A 14,750-nucleotide genomic window follows, 5' to 3' on the forward strand; every position below is an offset into this window, starting at 1 on the left:
AAGCAACTGTTAAATGTCTGTTTTTTTGTCCTGTGGGTGGTCAGATACTATCCATGTTAGCAAATAATATTAAGAGGAATTAACTATTTTTTTTATTTTGTGGTTTAGCAAGAATATCCAAATTTTTTAAGGTAAGCTTTGCAAGACTTTTTTTAAAAGGAGTCCATATAGCCATTGTCTTCTCTGAGTTTCTGTAAAGAAAGGAAAAAGAGGAGTGATTGAGATTGTCAGAGCTGTATTAGCAAGTGGCAGGGCCCAGACCACTTGGGAGAATGTCCTGAGAGTCAAATGCTCAGGCTTTGAACGGGGTACATACAACTTGCGTCATTTCTGGGAACCACAGACATCTTGAAGAGCAATGAATTTAATTTGAAAGGACAGTGGAGGAGAGAGGAAGTACTCCGGCTCTGTGAGTCATCAGAATAATAAGGCAGTGGCTGCCACTTTCAGGTCTGTTGCCTGTGGAAAGATGTAGATAGGGCCTTAAAGTCCCAGCTTCCTCTCACACTATACATTCAGGTGGCTTCAGTTTTATACACGCTCTTCCTGCAGAAAGGTATCTCAAGTACCTTCAAAACAACGCTGGCTCTCTCAGTTACAGTATAAACTTTAACTCATGATCCCATCCTGCATTTCCACTGAGGAAGTATTTGGCAAGGAAAGTAGAATGTTAATAATTTCCACACCCTGAGAGTCGACCAACATGATCTCTCATCCTTGCAATAATGCTGTAAGGCCAGAACAATGGGAACTGCAACCAACCTATTCTAGAGCTGAAGAAACAGGCCCAAAATTGTTTACTGACATGCCTGAAGATTGAAATCTAGACTCTGTATTCCAAAGTTCAGGCCTTTTTCATCAAAAAGGCTAATGTTTATGAAGAGTTTCTTTGCATGAAATATCACTTTAATTTTTTATGTGTATTAATAGCATTTAGTCCTCATAACAAATGTATAAATCAGGTACTATTATCCTCATTTTAAAGATGTGCAAACTGAGGTACAAAGATGCAATTTTCACAAAATTACTCAGGTAGTAAGTAGCCAAAGCAGGTGACCAGGTCCAGAGCCCAGGTACTAAGCGACTGCACATCACTGCCTGTCCACTGGCATGGGCTACCCAGCTGCTCACCCAAAAAAGCAAATGTGGAGACTGGAGAAGAAATGAGTACTCACCACATGGCACTTTCAATTGCTCTGCCACAGTTAAGAATGAGCTGGTCACCCCTTCACCTACCTCTTCACCCCTTCACCTACTTGGCCACATAGACCTCATACCTGATGTTTGCAGATGAGTCAGAGAAATCACCAGCAAGAAAGAGGTAAATGTCCCAGAAGCTTGATCAGCACACATCATTAAAAGCTCCTGTCATCAATGATGGCTCAGCTAAATCATTGCTTCTTTCCCATCAGGTTCTCCTTTACCCAGCCCCCGTCCTCATCTCTCCCCTCATCATTCTTGAACCTCACCCCTTCCCAAAAAGTGGAACACTATTATGTTCTGATGGTTAAATGCTTGAGTTTTAGTCCTTTGGATAGTGATGTTAGTCCTTTGGATAGTGATTTTAGCATCTCCAGGTCTTAGGGTCCTAGGAGAAACAGAAGGCTTGAGTGGATGTTTCCAACCTTAACATTCTATGATTACAAAATGGAATCATACAATTCTTAGATCCACAAGAAACATGAAAGTGTACAAGAGAAATTGTCTTATTTTTGTTAAAAAGTCTTTGAATATCTTTGTAGCATTAGATGTTTGTGTAGAACAGAGGGATTATGTTAAGATGGCATAAAAATATCCACCTGTAAAAAAAAGTAATCAAGTATTTTAAGGAACTTCAACTCAAAGGTCAGTAATTAAGACATGTAGACATGTAAATAACAAGCCTGGAAAGAGAAAAATTAGCAAGATTTGTTAGAGGTATGTGTTTTCTTAGGTATCAAATCCTAATGTCCTCAGAGAAATTTTCTATTCATGACAGGAAGCCTGGAACCAAAAAAAAAAAAAAAAAGAAAGAAAGAAAGACTCAAATTTCAGGCTAAAGGATGCTGTTCAATTGTTGTCTAACAAAGGCCATTGATCTCTCTTCTTATATAGTGGCAATATTTCACTTAGAAAAAACTGAATTCAGTATGTAATGTATTTTCAATAATATTGTGTAGAAAGCAGTAAAATAAAAAACTGGATATTTAAAAATGTCCAACAAACTGTCGATTTCAATGAGGGCAAAAATTATTTGCTCTGCATTTTCCTTCTCTAAATCTCTGCATTATAAAACCACTGAAGTTCCAGAGGAAAAGGAAGAAGGAAATCCAAATCCATTAACGCAGAGCCGCAGTGTCCACCTACAGCATTTGCTTCTTTGCTGTATTTTCTTTAAACTGGGCAGCAAAGCAAAGGACCTGCTTCCCAGCAAACATCTCCGTCATACTCTCATTGACCTACTCCCTGGAGACACCACCTGCAATTCATCACTCTTGGGAAATGCTGCCACCCAATTTCTTCTGTTTCTGTCAAGGATTCATTCACATTAATATTCCACTAGACTTAGCTCAGAAAGTTGTTAGAAACCGATACTACCTCTTCTGGATTCCAGATTCCTTCTACTATGTGCCCCCCGCACCCCACCCCCACCTCCTTCACCCTGTCACCTTCCTTTCTGTGAATGAAGGGGAAAAAAAATCCTAAAAACGGTTTTAAAATATGGAGTCAGCAGTTGGGGAAGGGCTGGACTATTACCACTCCAATACTGCTATAACAGCCTCATTTTCATGTTAGTTTATTTAATAATAAACTTCTATAGATTCACTTTTCCCAGTAGTTGTTAGTTGAAAAGATTTGTTGATGTACAAAAACCACAAGAGGAAAGTCATTGTATTTTGGAAAAATGTCATGGAAATCACCAAAGCCATCCAGTAACAGTTGGCAGCTTTTTGGGGGATGGCAAATGTTTTGTGTTGAATGCTGTGTCATCCACCAAATGTCAACTTCAGGTAACGAGTCTTCACATCTTCTCCTTCCTGTGGAACCATAAGGCTCCAGAGGACAGGGCTTTGGTCTTACTCCTCTCTATATTCCCCCAGCTGCTTCCAGCACAGTGCCCTTTCCATGGTAGGTCCTCAAATAATTATAATAACACGTGTTGATCAATTCTCCTCTAGCTGAAGCCTTGAAAGAGAGAGGCTCATCAACCAGGTAGAAATAAAAAGAAATGCAGGTACTTCTGAAATGCTTTATTAGGTTCTATAAAGGGGTTAAAATGGTGATTTTTCAATCGTATTCAAAGACAGCACAGCATCTTTTAGAAATCTGACTCTGGCTAGAGTAGACCTGGAAACACATTGGATGGAGGAATCACAGCAAGTCACTAAGATCAGAATTACTGCTGGACCATGAAAGTAAACAGGAAAAGACAAAAAATATTTTAAATTAATCCCAAATATACATCTGTTAATTGCCATTTCAATTCTTCAAATATTTGCATATGCAAATGTGCCCATTCAACACTGAATTATTAAAATTGAGGCAGACAATTGAGCTTTGCACACAGCAAAGGCAGCCTGGAATGGAGAAAACTGACTGGAGGTTGAGGAGAGAAAACATAGGAAACTTCCACTCTTTCTCTTTGTGATAAGGGAACCTGGTAATGACCCAGAGACCCTGGGAACTCTGGAAAAGGGCAGCTCTAAATGGAGGAAGGACACCTTGCAGGGGGAGAGGAATTAAGGATTTGTTTGGTTTTCACAAACATGTCTACGGTAAATCCCCGTGTGGAGAGAATGCTTTTTAAGCTCCTGTTATGTCCCAGACACTGGACAGGCACACAGACCTGTGGTCTCGCAGAGGCTTCAGGTGTGATACCCCAAAATATGACTGACACCTTGGAAACTGAAAAAACAGCAGAAGTAGGAAGGCGTCTCTGACCTTCTCTCAGGCTTTCCTCCCCTGAAGCAGACCATAAAACCCAGGATCGTCACTCTCCGACCTCTTCTGTTCCTTCTCCCCTGAAGACACTCATGTGGCAGGTGCCCACACAGAAGAAACTGAACAAACAGGTCTTACTACATTTCTCCCAGTTTGTTACCTTTGGATCAGACCCTTTTGTCCTTCAATTATACTTCTGTATGGCTGTCCATAAAAATACAGTTTTCCCTGGGTCTTTGGGGCTTTGCTTCTGAAGGCTCACATGTCATGTAAGATTTACATGAAATGCATTTGCAAGCTTTTTGCTTATTACTCTTTTGTCATAGGGTTGTTGGCCATGAACTTTACAATGAGTGAGGAAAGAAATCTTTTCTCCCCTACACAGACAATAAGCAAGAAAACAAATAATTCAAAATGTCAGAGAGTAGCACACACTACAAAGATAAAGCAGAACGATAATGATTGGAGTAGAAGCAGGTCTACGTTAGATTAAGGGGCTAGGAGTCTGTCTGAGGAGATATTGAGACCTGAATGGCAAGAAGAAGCCAGCCCTGTAAGAATAGATGGGAAGAGATCAAAGCAGAGGGAATACATGGTCAAAGGTACGGATAGAAGGCCGACCCAGCATGAGCGGGGGAGTAGATGTGCTCAGAGAGGCAAGGGGAACTCATAGGGCCCACTCGGTCAGGGTAGGATGTTAGGGTTTTATTCCAGATGTGGTGTGAAGCCATCAGAGGAGGAACATGTTCTCATGTGTGGTTTTATAAAGATCACTCCAGCTGCCATGTGGAGGGCAAGGCTGCTGTGTAGGGGCGGAAGAGTCCCAGACCTCTTAGTGCTCTATCTCATCACCTACCTAAGAGATAGTGATGGCTTGGACCAAGAAAGGTAGCAATGAAAATGAAGAAAAGGAAAACAATAATAACATAACATATATTTTGAAAGTAAAGCCAACATAGAAGTAAAATAAAAATCAGCCTCCACTAATTGACTACTTCTAATGCTGTACATATTTATACTATGGCATTAATAATACTAAAATAGATTGTGCTAATAAGGCATATTTCAACTGTGTGAAGATTTACCACTGTGAGTCACAACTCCTGATTTCCCAAAATGGAAATTACAGAAAGAAGCCAAAAAGACCAATTCAGAGTGACCCAGTGTAGCAGATGTTGGAAATTTCCTGGCTGCTACTATTTGAACATTCTTCCTGTATTTTGGGAATTCCTCCATAAATAAATCCTTGATGGGAGGCAGACCCCTAGCCGTAGTTCCCATTGCAAAACAATTTTTGCCGTAGCATGGATCTGTCAGTTATTCTTAGCATGGAGCCTTTAGAGCGCCATGTGCTCTAATTCACATGATCTCGTTCCACATTAACCAAAAAGTCTTTGATTGTGATTTGTCTCTACAAGGAGATCTTTCTACAAAGAAAAGAAAAAGAAAACGACCAGCATTTTTTTAAACCGCCTAATATGGCCAGCATTGTGATAGGAATCTGAAAATATATTGTTTCACTTAATCCTCAAACCATCTCTACCAATTTGGTATTATTGGCTTTATTTTACAAATTAGAAAAAAAGAGAGAGAATCAGAGAGTTTAAGAAATTTACCCAAAATCACATTGTTACTAAGTAGCAAAATCAAACTGCTCAATTCAAATCCTGGTTAATTCCAGAGTTTTCGGTGTAGATTTGCTTTGCGCTTTATGGATCTCATAAGAAGGAAACAGTGGTCAAGAAAATGAAAAAATACTACAGCCATCTAGACTGATTTACATGTAAAAGGGGATAAAATTGAGATCAGGAAAACCAGAGGACAGGGAGAAAGAAGAGCCAGAGTGCAAAAAATTTGGGGAGGATTTGCAAAATGTTAAGGGATAAAAAGTGGGAATTTTAGGTAACTGCCATCTGTGATGTGTGAAATATTAAAAAAGAAATGTGAGACGGAATTTTAAGAAAATATGCTATGTATGGGTTTCCTCTTCGGTGCAGCTTCATGAGATTTCAGGAAAAATTACATTGTTTTCAATGCTTTGAGGGCTACCTGACTGGAGTTTCCTTTATGAGGACATCATTGAGATGAACCATGAGGCAACCCAGCCTCTTGTAGGTTGCGTGAGTCTCTCACGGAATTTTCTGTTTCAAGCAGAGAGGAGTAGCCCATGTCTCTTTCAACCACACAACAGTGACTTCTGAATAAACAAGCAACCATAATATCCCTATGGCTGCCTCTGGCTCACACGGTTTTGAAAGATTCCAGTTGCTACATCTCCACCAGAGCCTTGTGTGGCAGTAGACTAGAATCACGTGAAGTACGTATATAATTTTCACAACTTTAATTCTGTAAGTGCGGCAAAGGGAAGAAAAGAAGAATTAAAATAATGTTAGAAGACAAAACCAATTATCATCCTAGGATGTGCTTCATCGTGTTCCTCAATTATCTCCATCCTGCGATTGTTTATTGTGTCTGAACCCCGTATTCAGATTGGAGAAACCCATTTAGGTGTACTTTATAGATGTTTTCAGAAGTTTTCTAAGGCAATTTTGACTCTACTTGATTGTAATCTTAGTGGCTGACTTGACCATGTGCAACTCCACTAAACTGCCAGCCCAACGCTGGATACAAACAGGGACAGAACATCCCAACAAGGCACCTGAGAAGGAGGTAGCCTTCTATGTTCCAGGAACAAAGAAAGTGCTCAATAAATGTTTACTGAATGGATGGATGAATAGACAAGTGAATAAACAGCCAAAAAAACACGCACAAAATGGTTCGGTCCTAGTCACATTCCCAGATTCTCTTATGGCACCAACAGCATAAGGGCCAGTGATTTCTCAGGCCAAAGAATCCCTTGCAAGGAGAACCCCCCAGGCAAAGTTCTTCAAGATTATCAATTTCCCTTTTAGAATGCTCATCAGTAAAATGGAAATAATTTCTCCAGGCCAGGTGTGGTGGCTCATGCCTATAGTCCCAGCACTTTGGGAGGCCAAAGCAGGCAGATCACTTTGAGGTCAGGAGTTTGAAACCTGACCTCAAGATGGTGAAACCCCATCTCTTCTAAAAATACAAAAAAATGAGCTGGGCATGGTGGCACATGCCTGTAATCCCAGCTACTTGGGAAGCTGAGGCACGAGAATTGCTTGAATCTACAAGGCAGAGGTTGCAGTGAGCTGAGATCACGCCATTGCACTCCTGCCTGGGTGAGAGAGTGAGACCCTGTTTCAAAAAACTAAAACAAAACAAACAAAAAAAAAAAAAAAAAGAAAGAAAGAATTTATCCTTCAATCTCCAACCCATCCCCCAATTCCAGCCTAGTGTTCTCATCCTACCTTTCAAATCTCTCTTTTTACCATCCCTTCCGTTCAGTACTTACTTGTCCTGTGTCTCTTTTTATCAGGGCTTCCCATGCTACAGTGGATTGAACAGTGCCCCTGGACCCTGACAAAAAAAAAAAAAAAAGATATGTCCATGTCCTCACCTTTGGAACCTGTGAATGTAAACTTATTTTGAAAAAGATCTTTGCAGATATAATTCTTTGCTTCTTCGCAAAGAATTCTTTTACATCTTTGCAGATGTAAAAATCTCGAGATGAGTTTATCCTAGATTTGGGGTGGACCTTTAATCTAATGCCAGGAGTCATAAGAGCAAGGCAGAAAGAAACTGGAGACACGGGGATAGAGAGGAAAATGAGATGTGAAGATGGAGACAGAGACTGAATCAATACGTCTACAAGCCAAGCAACACTGAGGATTGGCAGCAGCCATTGGAAGCTAGGAGATAGGCAAGGAATGGATTGCCCTCAGAGCATCCACAAGGAACCAACCCTGTTGACACCTTAGTTTTGGACTTCTGGCCTCCAAAACTATAACAGCATTTTTTAAATTGTTTGAAGCCTCCAAGTTCATGGTAATTTTTTTTTACAGAAGACCCAGAAAACTAGTTGGCCATAGTGGGTCACACCTGTAATCCCAGCACTTTGGAAGTCCAAGGTGCGTGGATCACTTGAGGTCGGGAGTTCAAGACCAGCCTGGTCAACATGGTGAAAACCCGTCTGTACTAAAACTACAAAAATTAGGTGTTGTGGCTGGTGCCTGTAATCTCAGCTACTAGGGAGGCTGAGGCACGAAAATCACTTGAATCTGGGAGGCAGAGGTTGCTTGCAGTGAGCCAAGCTCATACCTGCCACTGCACTCTAGCTTGGGCAACAGAGTGAGACTCAGTCTCAAAAAAAAAAAAAAAAGGCCAGATGCAGTGGCTCACGCCTGTAATCCCAGCACTTTGGGAGGCCGAGGCAGACAGATCACAAGATCGAGACCATCCTGGCTAACACGGTGAAACCCTGTCTCTACTAAAAATACAAAAAAAAATTAACTGGCGTGGTGGTGGGTGCCTGTAATCCCAGCTACTTGAGAGGCTGAGGCAGGAGAATGGTGTGAACCTGGGAGGAGGAGCTTTCAGTGAGCCGAGATGGCGCCACTGCACTCCAGCCTGAGCGACAGAGCGAGACTCCATCTCAAAAAAAAAAAAAATTGATACGCTGATACACTTGGTGATTGCATTGGCTATCTCTGGCCTTTAGTAATGACCAATTGACATTGCAATATTCTTAACAAGGGGGTGCTAGAGGTAAAAACCTAGAAAAAGGATTTCTTCATCTCAAGTGGCAAACCTTTGGTTTCAAAAGCATTGGTGGAAAAGATATTTTGGGGATGCGGTGGTGATTTCAGCTGCACCCTTCAACTTACATTGAGTGGGCAACTGCCATTGATACTTACAAGAAAAGAAGGCAATGCAGAGACTAAAGCTGGCAATGCTCTGTAGGTCATCAGCATGGACAGCTCAGAGTCAGAACTTGATCTTACTTTATATTCATATTATTTAATAAAAGGTACATATTTTATATATGCCTTTAAAATAATTAGAATTTTTCCAATGGCTTTGCAATAACATTTGATGTCTGTGTGTAAGAGAATTATAGTCCTTACAGTCATGGGGCACAAGCATTCCCTGATGGCCTAATTTCACAAACAGCCTCTTACATCACTGCTGCATTCTTCCAGTGAGAATCAAATTATAGCATACATATGACAACTTAACATCATGTTCTCACATAGCAGTCTCTGGAAGCTAACTCAAACGCTTCTTTTAAGGGAGTTTAGTTTCTATTGAAGGCACTAGTGTGATTCCACCACATTTACTATACAGGTGAATTGGTTTCATAGAATCATTGAACTTCAGGACTCACACATTGAGTGCAGTTCCCCCCGGCCTCTAAACGTGCGCGCGCATGCGCGCACACACACACACTGATATGGTTTGGATTTGCGTCCCCACCCAAATCTCATGTCGAATTGTAATCGTCAGGGTTGGGGCCTGATTGATTCTTGGGGGCACACTTCCCCTTGCTGTTCTCATGACAGTGAGTGAGTTCTCATGAGATCTGGTTATCTAAAAGTGTGTAGCACCCCACACACACATCCTCCTGGTCCAGCCATGAAGGATGTGCCAACTTTCCCTTCACCTTCCACCACGATTGTAAGTTACCCGAGCCCTCTCCAGCTATGCTTCCTATACCACCTGTGGAACCGTGAGCCAATTAAACCTCTTTTCAATTACCCAGTCTCAGTAGTTCTTTATTACAATGCCAGAATAGACTAACACACATGTACTCATTCTATTCATGTGAAAACTGAGGCTTGTCTAAGAGCATTCAGTTATCTAGAGGCAAAGGGGCTATTCCTATGCTTTTATCAAGTAGAAGACTATCACTCTTTCACATGGGAATTTCTTGAGTAGCTCCTTTGTAAATCCTTGGCGAAAAGATCTACCAGGAGTGATTAGGGAAAATGAAGCAGGAATCTAGTTGGCTAGATAAGCCAATCAAGCTGTGGAGTAGAAAATGACAGAAAATGCATAGCCCTGTGGCAAAGCAGGACTTAGAATTCTGGAGACCTTAACCCCCAAATTCATGCTATTTTCATTATGCCAGCTGACTCCCCCCATTGATCATTTCTGATAGAATCACAGCTTCTTAGAACTAGATGACTCAGTGGTCCAAATCTTTATTCCACTGCAACAGAAGCAACACAACCACATTAAAAGAGTGGTTTACTAGCTACCAGGGTAGCAGTACCAACAAGGTCAGGAAGATCCCCACCCGTGGGCTTAAATGGAGTATATGGTATGATGATGGAAAATTAGATAAAGGACTCCTGGAGATTCTAATCACTCTCTCCCCTTCCCTCTCTGTGTGTCACCAAGTTCCCTGCAGATCAACAATGTATGCCAAAACAATTAGTTAAAAGGTTTTTATAAATAACAATTTTCCAAAGTGCAGAGACTCCTTGGAATTATTGCATAATTATGCTAAATCCCTGCAAAATTTGCTTGCCCTTAATGGACCATACTGACCTGGCTGAGTATGAAATATGCCCAAATATACCTGAAATTTCTTTTAACCTCTAAATGAGCTATAGAAAAGAAAAACTAGAGATAGCAACAGGTACTATGAATCATCAGTATTAGAATATACAAATTACAACTAGCACATATTACTGTTTTAAGCATCAGTATGGATTTTGAGGTGAAAATAATGGGTCCTCATATACTGTTAGGACTGGAGATTTGTACACACTTTCCAGTAGTATGCTAAATGTTTAATAGTCAGCTCTCCATAGAAGAGGGGGAAAGCTCTAATTTGTTTCAGAGTTCCAGCACACCACTGACACTTTCTAAATATATATATATAAAAGGTGTTTACAATGTGCCTGCCATCTGACTCAGAAAACCTACCCTTAGGAATGTATTAGCAAAAAATAGTCAAAGAAGTGTGAAAAGATGCATATGCAAGAATATTTGCCACAGGTTGTTTATGATATCAAAAATTTGGGCCTGATACAGTGGCTTACACCTGTAATCCCAGCACTTTGGGAGGCCAAGGCTGGTGGATTACTTGAGCCCAGGAGTTGGAGACCAGCCTAGACAACATAACAAGACTCCAAGTCTACCAAAAATAAAAAATTAGCTGGATGTGGTGGCACATGCCTCTGGTCTCAGCTATTTGGGAGGCAGAGGCAGGAGGATCACTTGAGCCCAGGAGGCAGAGGCTGCAGTGAGCCAAGATCATGCCACTGCACTCCAGCCTGGTTGATAGAAAAATGATTTTTTGGGGGGAGAACTCATTGCTCATAAGTAGGGTAATGTAGCTCTGCCTACTTACCCTCAACGCCCTGCCCCAAACCTTAACCCCTGGAAACCACTGATATTTTTATAAACTCTATAATTTTACCTTTCCCAGAATGTCACATAGTTAGAATCATACAGTACGTATCCTATTCAGACTGGCTTCTTTCACTTAGCAATATGTATTTAAGGTTCCTGTATGTCTTTTCATGGCTTAATAGTTCATTTTTTTTATCGCTGAATAGTGGACTCGTATTTAAAATTCTTTGAATCTCTTTTTCTCATTTGTAGTAGGAGTAATAGTGCCACCTTCAAGGATTGTCATGAATGTTTGATGAGATAATATATATATATATAAAGTTTCCAGCACATAGCATGTAGTTAATAAACATCAGCTCCTTCCCTCAATAATTTGGATATGAACAATGTGGCAGGCTGAATAGTGACCCCCCAAAAGATGTCAACATATCAATCCCTGTGAATGTGTTTCTTGCATGGAAGATGGGAATCGCAGATGTGATTAAGTCAAGAATCATGAGAGGTGAGATTATCCTGTATTATCAGATGAACCCAGTGTAATCACAAGAGTCCTTATAAGACGGAGATGTGAAGGTTAGAGTCATAGAAGGTGATGTGATGACAGAAGCGGAAGTCAGAGCAATGTGGCCATGAGCAAGGAATGTGGGAAAGTCTTCTAATGCTGGGAAAGGCAGGGGATGGATGGATTCTCCCCTAGAGCCTCCAAAAGGAGCACACCTTGGCTGACACTTTGATTTTAGCCTTGTAAAACCTCCATCAGACTTCTGACCTCCAGAAATGAAAGATAACAAATGTGTATTGTTTTAAGCCACTGAGTTTGTTCCAATTTATTCCAGCAGCAATAGGAAGCAAATACAGGTGATTAACCTCAACATTCTCTTTCACTCCCTTCCAGTGTGTCTCCCCACATAGAGAGTCTAGAAATAAAAAAACTACATTTCCTGGAATCTCTTGCAGCTAGGGTTCTGATCACCTACTTATCCCCACTTGGATGCACTTGTGCAAGGTTTGGAAAGTGGAAGTGAGGCAGAGATAATTTTCCTGCTGCTTTTGGCTGAATTTCACTAGAAAATATGGTAGTGCAGATATATTTCTGCAGCAGCATTCCAGCAGGGTACTTGTAATTCCCAGCTTCATGGGAGTCAAGATGCATCTGTGAGGAAAAAATGGCAGATTCCTGATCCTATAGCAACTTTCTGACTCCCCACCTTCATGGAAGAGGTAGTTGTTCCCCTAGGTGGTAAGCTCTCAAGTGTCCTGGGAGTCTCCCAAAAACCATCTCTTCCACCAGCACTTCCATGCAGCTAATTCTTTGTATTAAACATTTCTGCTTAAAATAACTAGAGTTGCTTCCCTTTGCTGCAACTGAACCCTGACTGATACAGTCTCCATTTGCACACCACCCCAGGGGAGGCAGAAGATGTCAGCTGGGAAATCTGGATATTCTGAGATAGCATACATCAACTGGGAGGCGACTCTTAACAACTCCACTGCTGTGTCTCACAACACACCAGGGTTTCCTGTCAATCATTGTATTATATCCTCTACTCACTTTTCTTTAACCAGGCCCTCTCAGTTTTGAGTTTTCCTCTTAACTGGGTCAAAATGGGATTACAATTTTGGTGCATTCAGGAAGTAAGGATTGCTTTTTAAAAAAACTTAAAGATATTCTTAGCTCCTTGGGAGGCTGAGGTCAGAGAATTGCTTGAGCCCAGGATTTCGAGGCTGCAATGAACCATGATTACGCCACTGTACTCCAGCCTAGGCAACAGAGCAAGTCCCTGTCTCTGAAAGAAAAAATAAAATTGTAAAGACACAGTAGTGAGTTGACTCCAATCTCCCTCCCCTGCTGCAACACTCATTGCAATGGTTCCTATACCTACCACAATGTGCCACCCTTGAATGAAGTCTGCCTTGCCATTAAAAAAAAAAATAGAGACATTGTATAACATAATGTCTTTTAGCCTTATGAAAACAATTTTTTAAATTACCCACACTAAAGAAGAAATAGGTGATTGGCAGACTCCAGAAACAAAGGACATTTATTGCTGTTCTCATGAAGAAAGATGAATGTTTAAAAGGTTAGAAAAGGTCTTAGCAATTTATTTATATTGATTTGGATGAGTGATTCTGAAAGACAATGTTTTCTCTATGACTCTTCAACCATGTGAATGTTCCTTAAAATGCATGGCAACCACCCTGTCAACACAGTTTTCCAAATTTCCCAGAAATTATTTTAAAATTTTTAATATGCTTAATCCACATCTCACACTAAAAACAAACAACCTCCACCCTCCCCCCTCCCCGCAAAAAAAGGCTTGTTAGAATTTCCAATTATGCTACAGGAGAATAAGTGCTAGGGAAATCATGGCCACTGGAATTAATACATTTAGTTAAAGTGATTTGGGAACTCAGCTCCATAAAACTTAGGTTATCTTTGTAGAGCTCCATCCTGCTCTGAACTTTCTGTCTAGTGCTCGACTCCTTTGTTTTTTGTTTTGTTTTGTTTTGTTTGTTTTGTTTTTTGTTTTTGAGACAGAGTCTTGCTCTGTTGCCCAGGCTGGAGTGCAGTGGCACAATCTCGGCTCACTTCAACCTCTGCCTCCCGGGTTCAAGTGATCCTCCTGCCTCAGCCTCCCAAGTAGCTGGGATTACAGGTGCCCGCTATCATGCCCAGCTAATTTTTGTATTTTTTTAGTAAAGATGGGGTTTCACCATGTTGGCCAGGCTGGTCTCGAACTCCTGGCCTCAGGTGATGTGCCCATCTCAGCCTCCCAAAGTGCTGGGATTACAGGCGTGAGCCACCGTGCCCAGCACAGAACTTGGCAATATTTTTCTAAGCAGAGCCAGACAGGAAATGCTTTAGGCCCTTTCGGGACAGAGGATCTCTGTCACAACAATTCAGTTCTAGTTCTACCCTTGTATGACCAAAGCAGTGAAATCATCACAAGTGTATGTGGCTGTGCTCCAAGAAAACTTATGTGTGAATAGTGAAATTTGGATTTTGTACAGTTTTGCAAGTCACAAAATATTATTTTTCTTTTCACTTTTACTCAACCATTTAAAAATGTAAGCATCATTCTTAGTCACAGGCCACACAAAAACAGGCAGCAGTTGGATTTGGCTCACAGACCATAGTTTGCCAACCGCTGCTGTAAGCCTGGCCCTGTCCCTTCCAACTTACCCCAAAATTCTCATTCTGATAAAGATTGGTTTACAGAGCCAGGATGGAGATGTTGCCTCCTAAAGTTCAGTATTTCCTGGGAGAGGAGAAACAATTTTATTTTGTCTTTTTTACCTGGTGCTCAGCCCTTCCCAGTCTAGCTGCCACTTACCCTTCCCACTCCAATTCTTTGTCCTTCTACACCCAAACCAGCTTACAGATCTCACCTAACCTTTCTCTAGTCACATCAGATTACTTGCCTTTCCCTAGAAAAGTCAGACAGTTGTAAACTTCCACGATTTTGTTCACGCCCTCCAACTAGCACAGCCTCTCCCACGTCTCTACCTAGATTTTTGCTCATTCCTCAGCTCAGTGTCATTTTTTCTTTCCCCAGGAAAGTGAGGTGAGGGCAATGGACCGCACACAGGCAACATGCACA

Source organism: Homo sapiens, chromosome 9 (assembly GCF_000001405.40).
Source record: "Homo sapiens chromosome 9, GRCh38.p14 Primary Assembly".
NCBI lineage: Eukaryota > Metazoa > Chordata > Mammalia > Primates > Hominidae > Homo > Homo sapiens.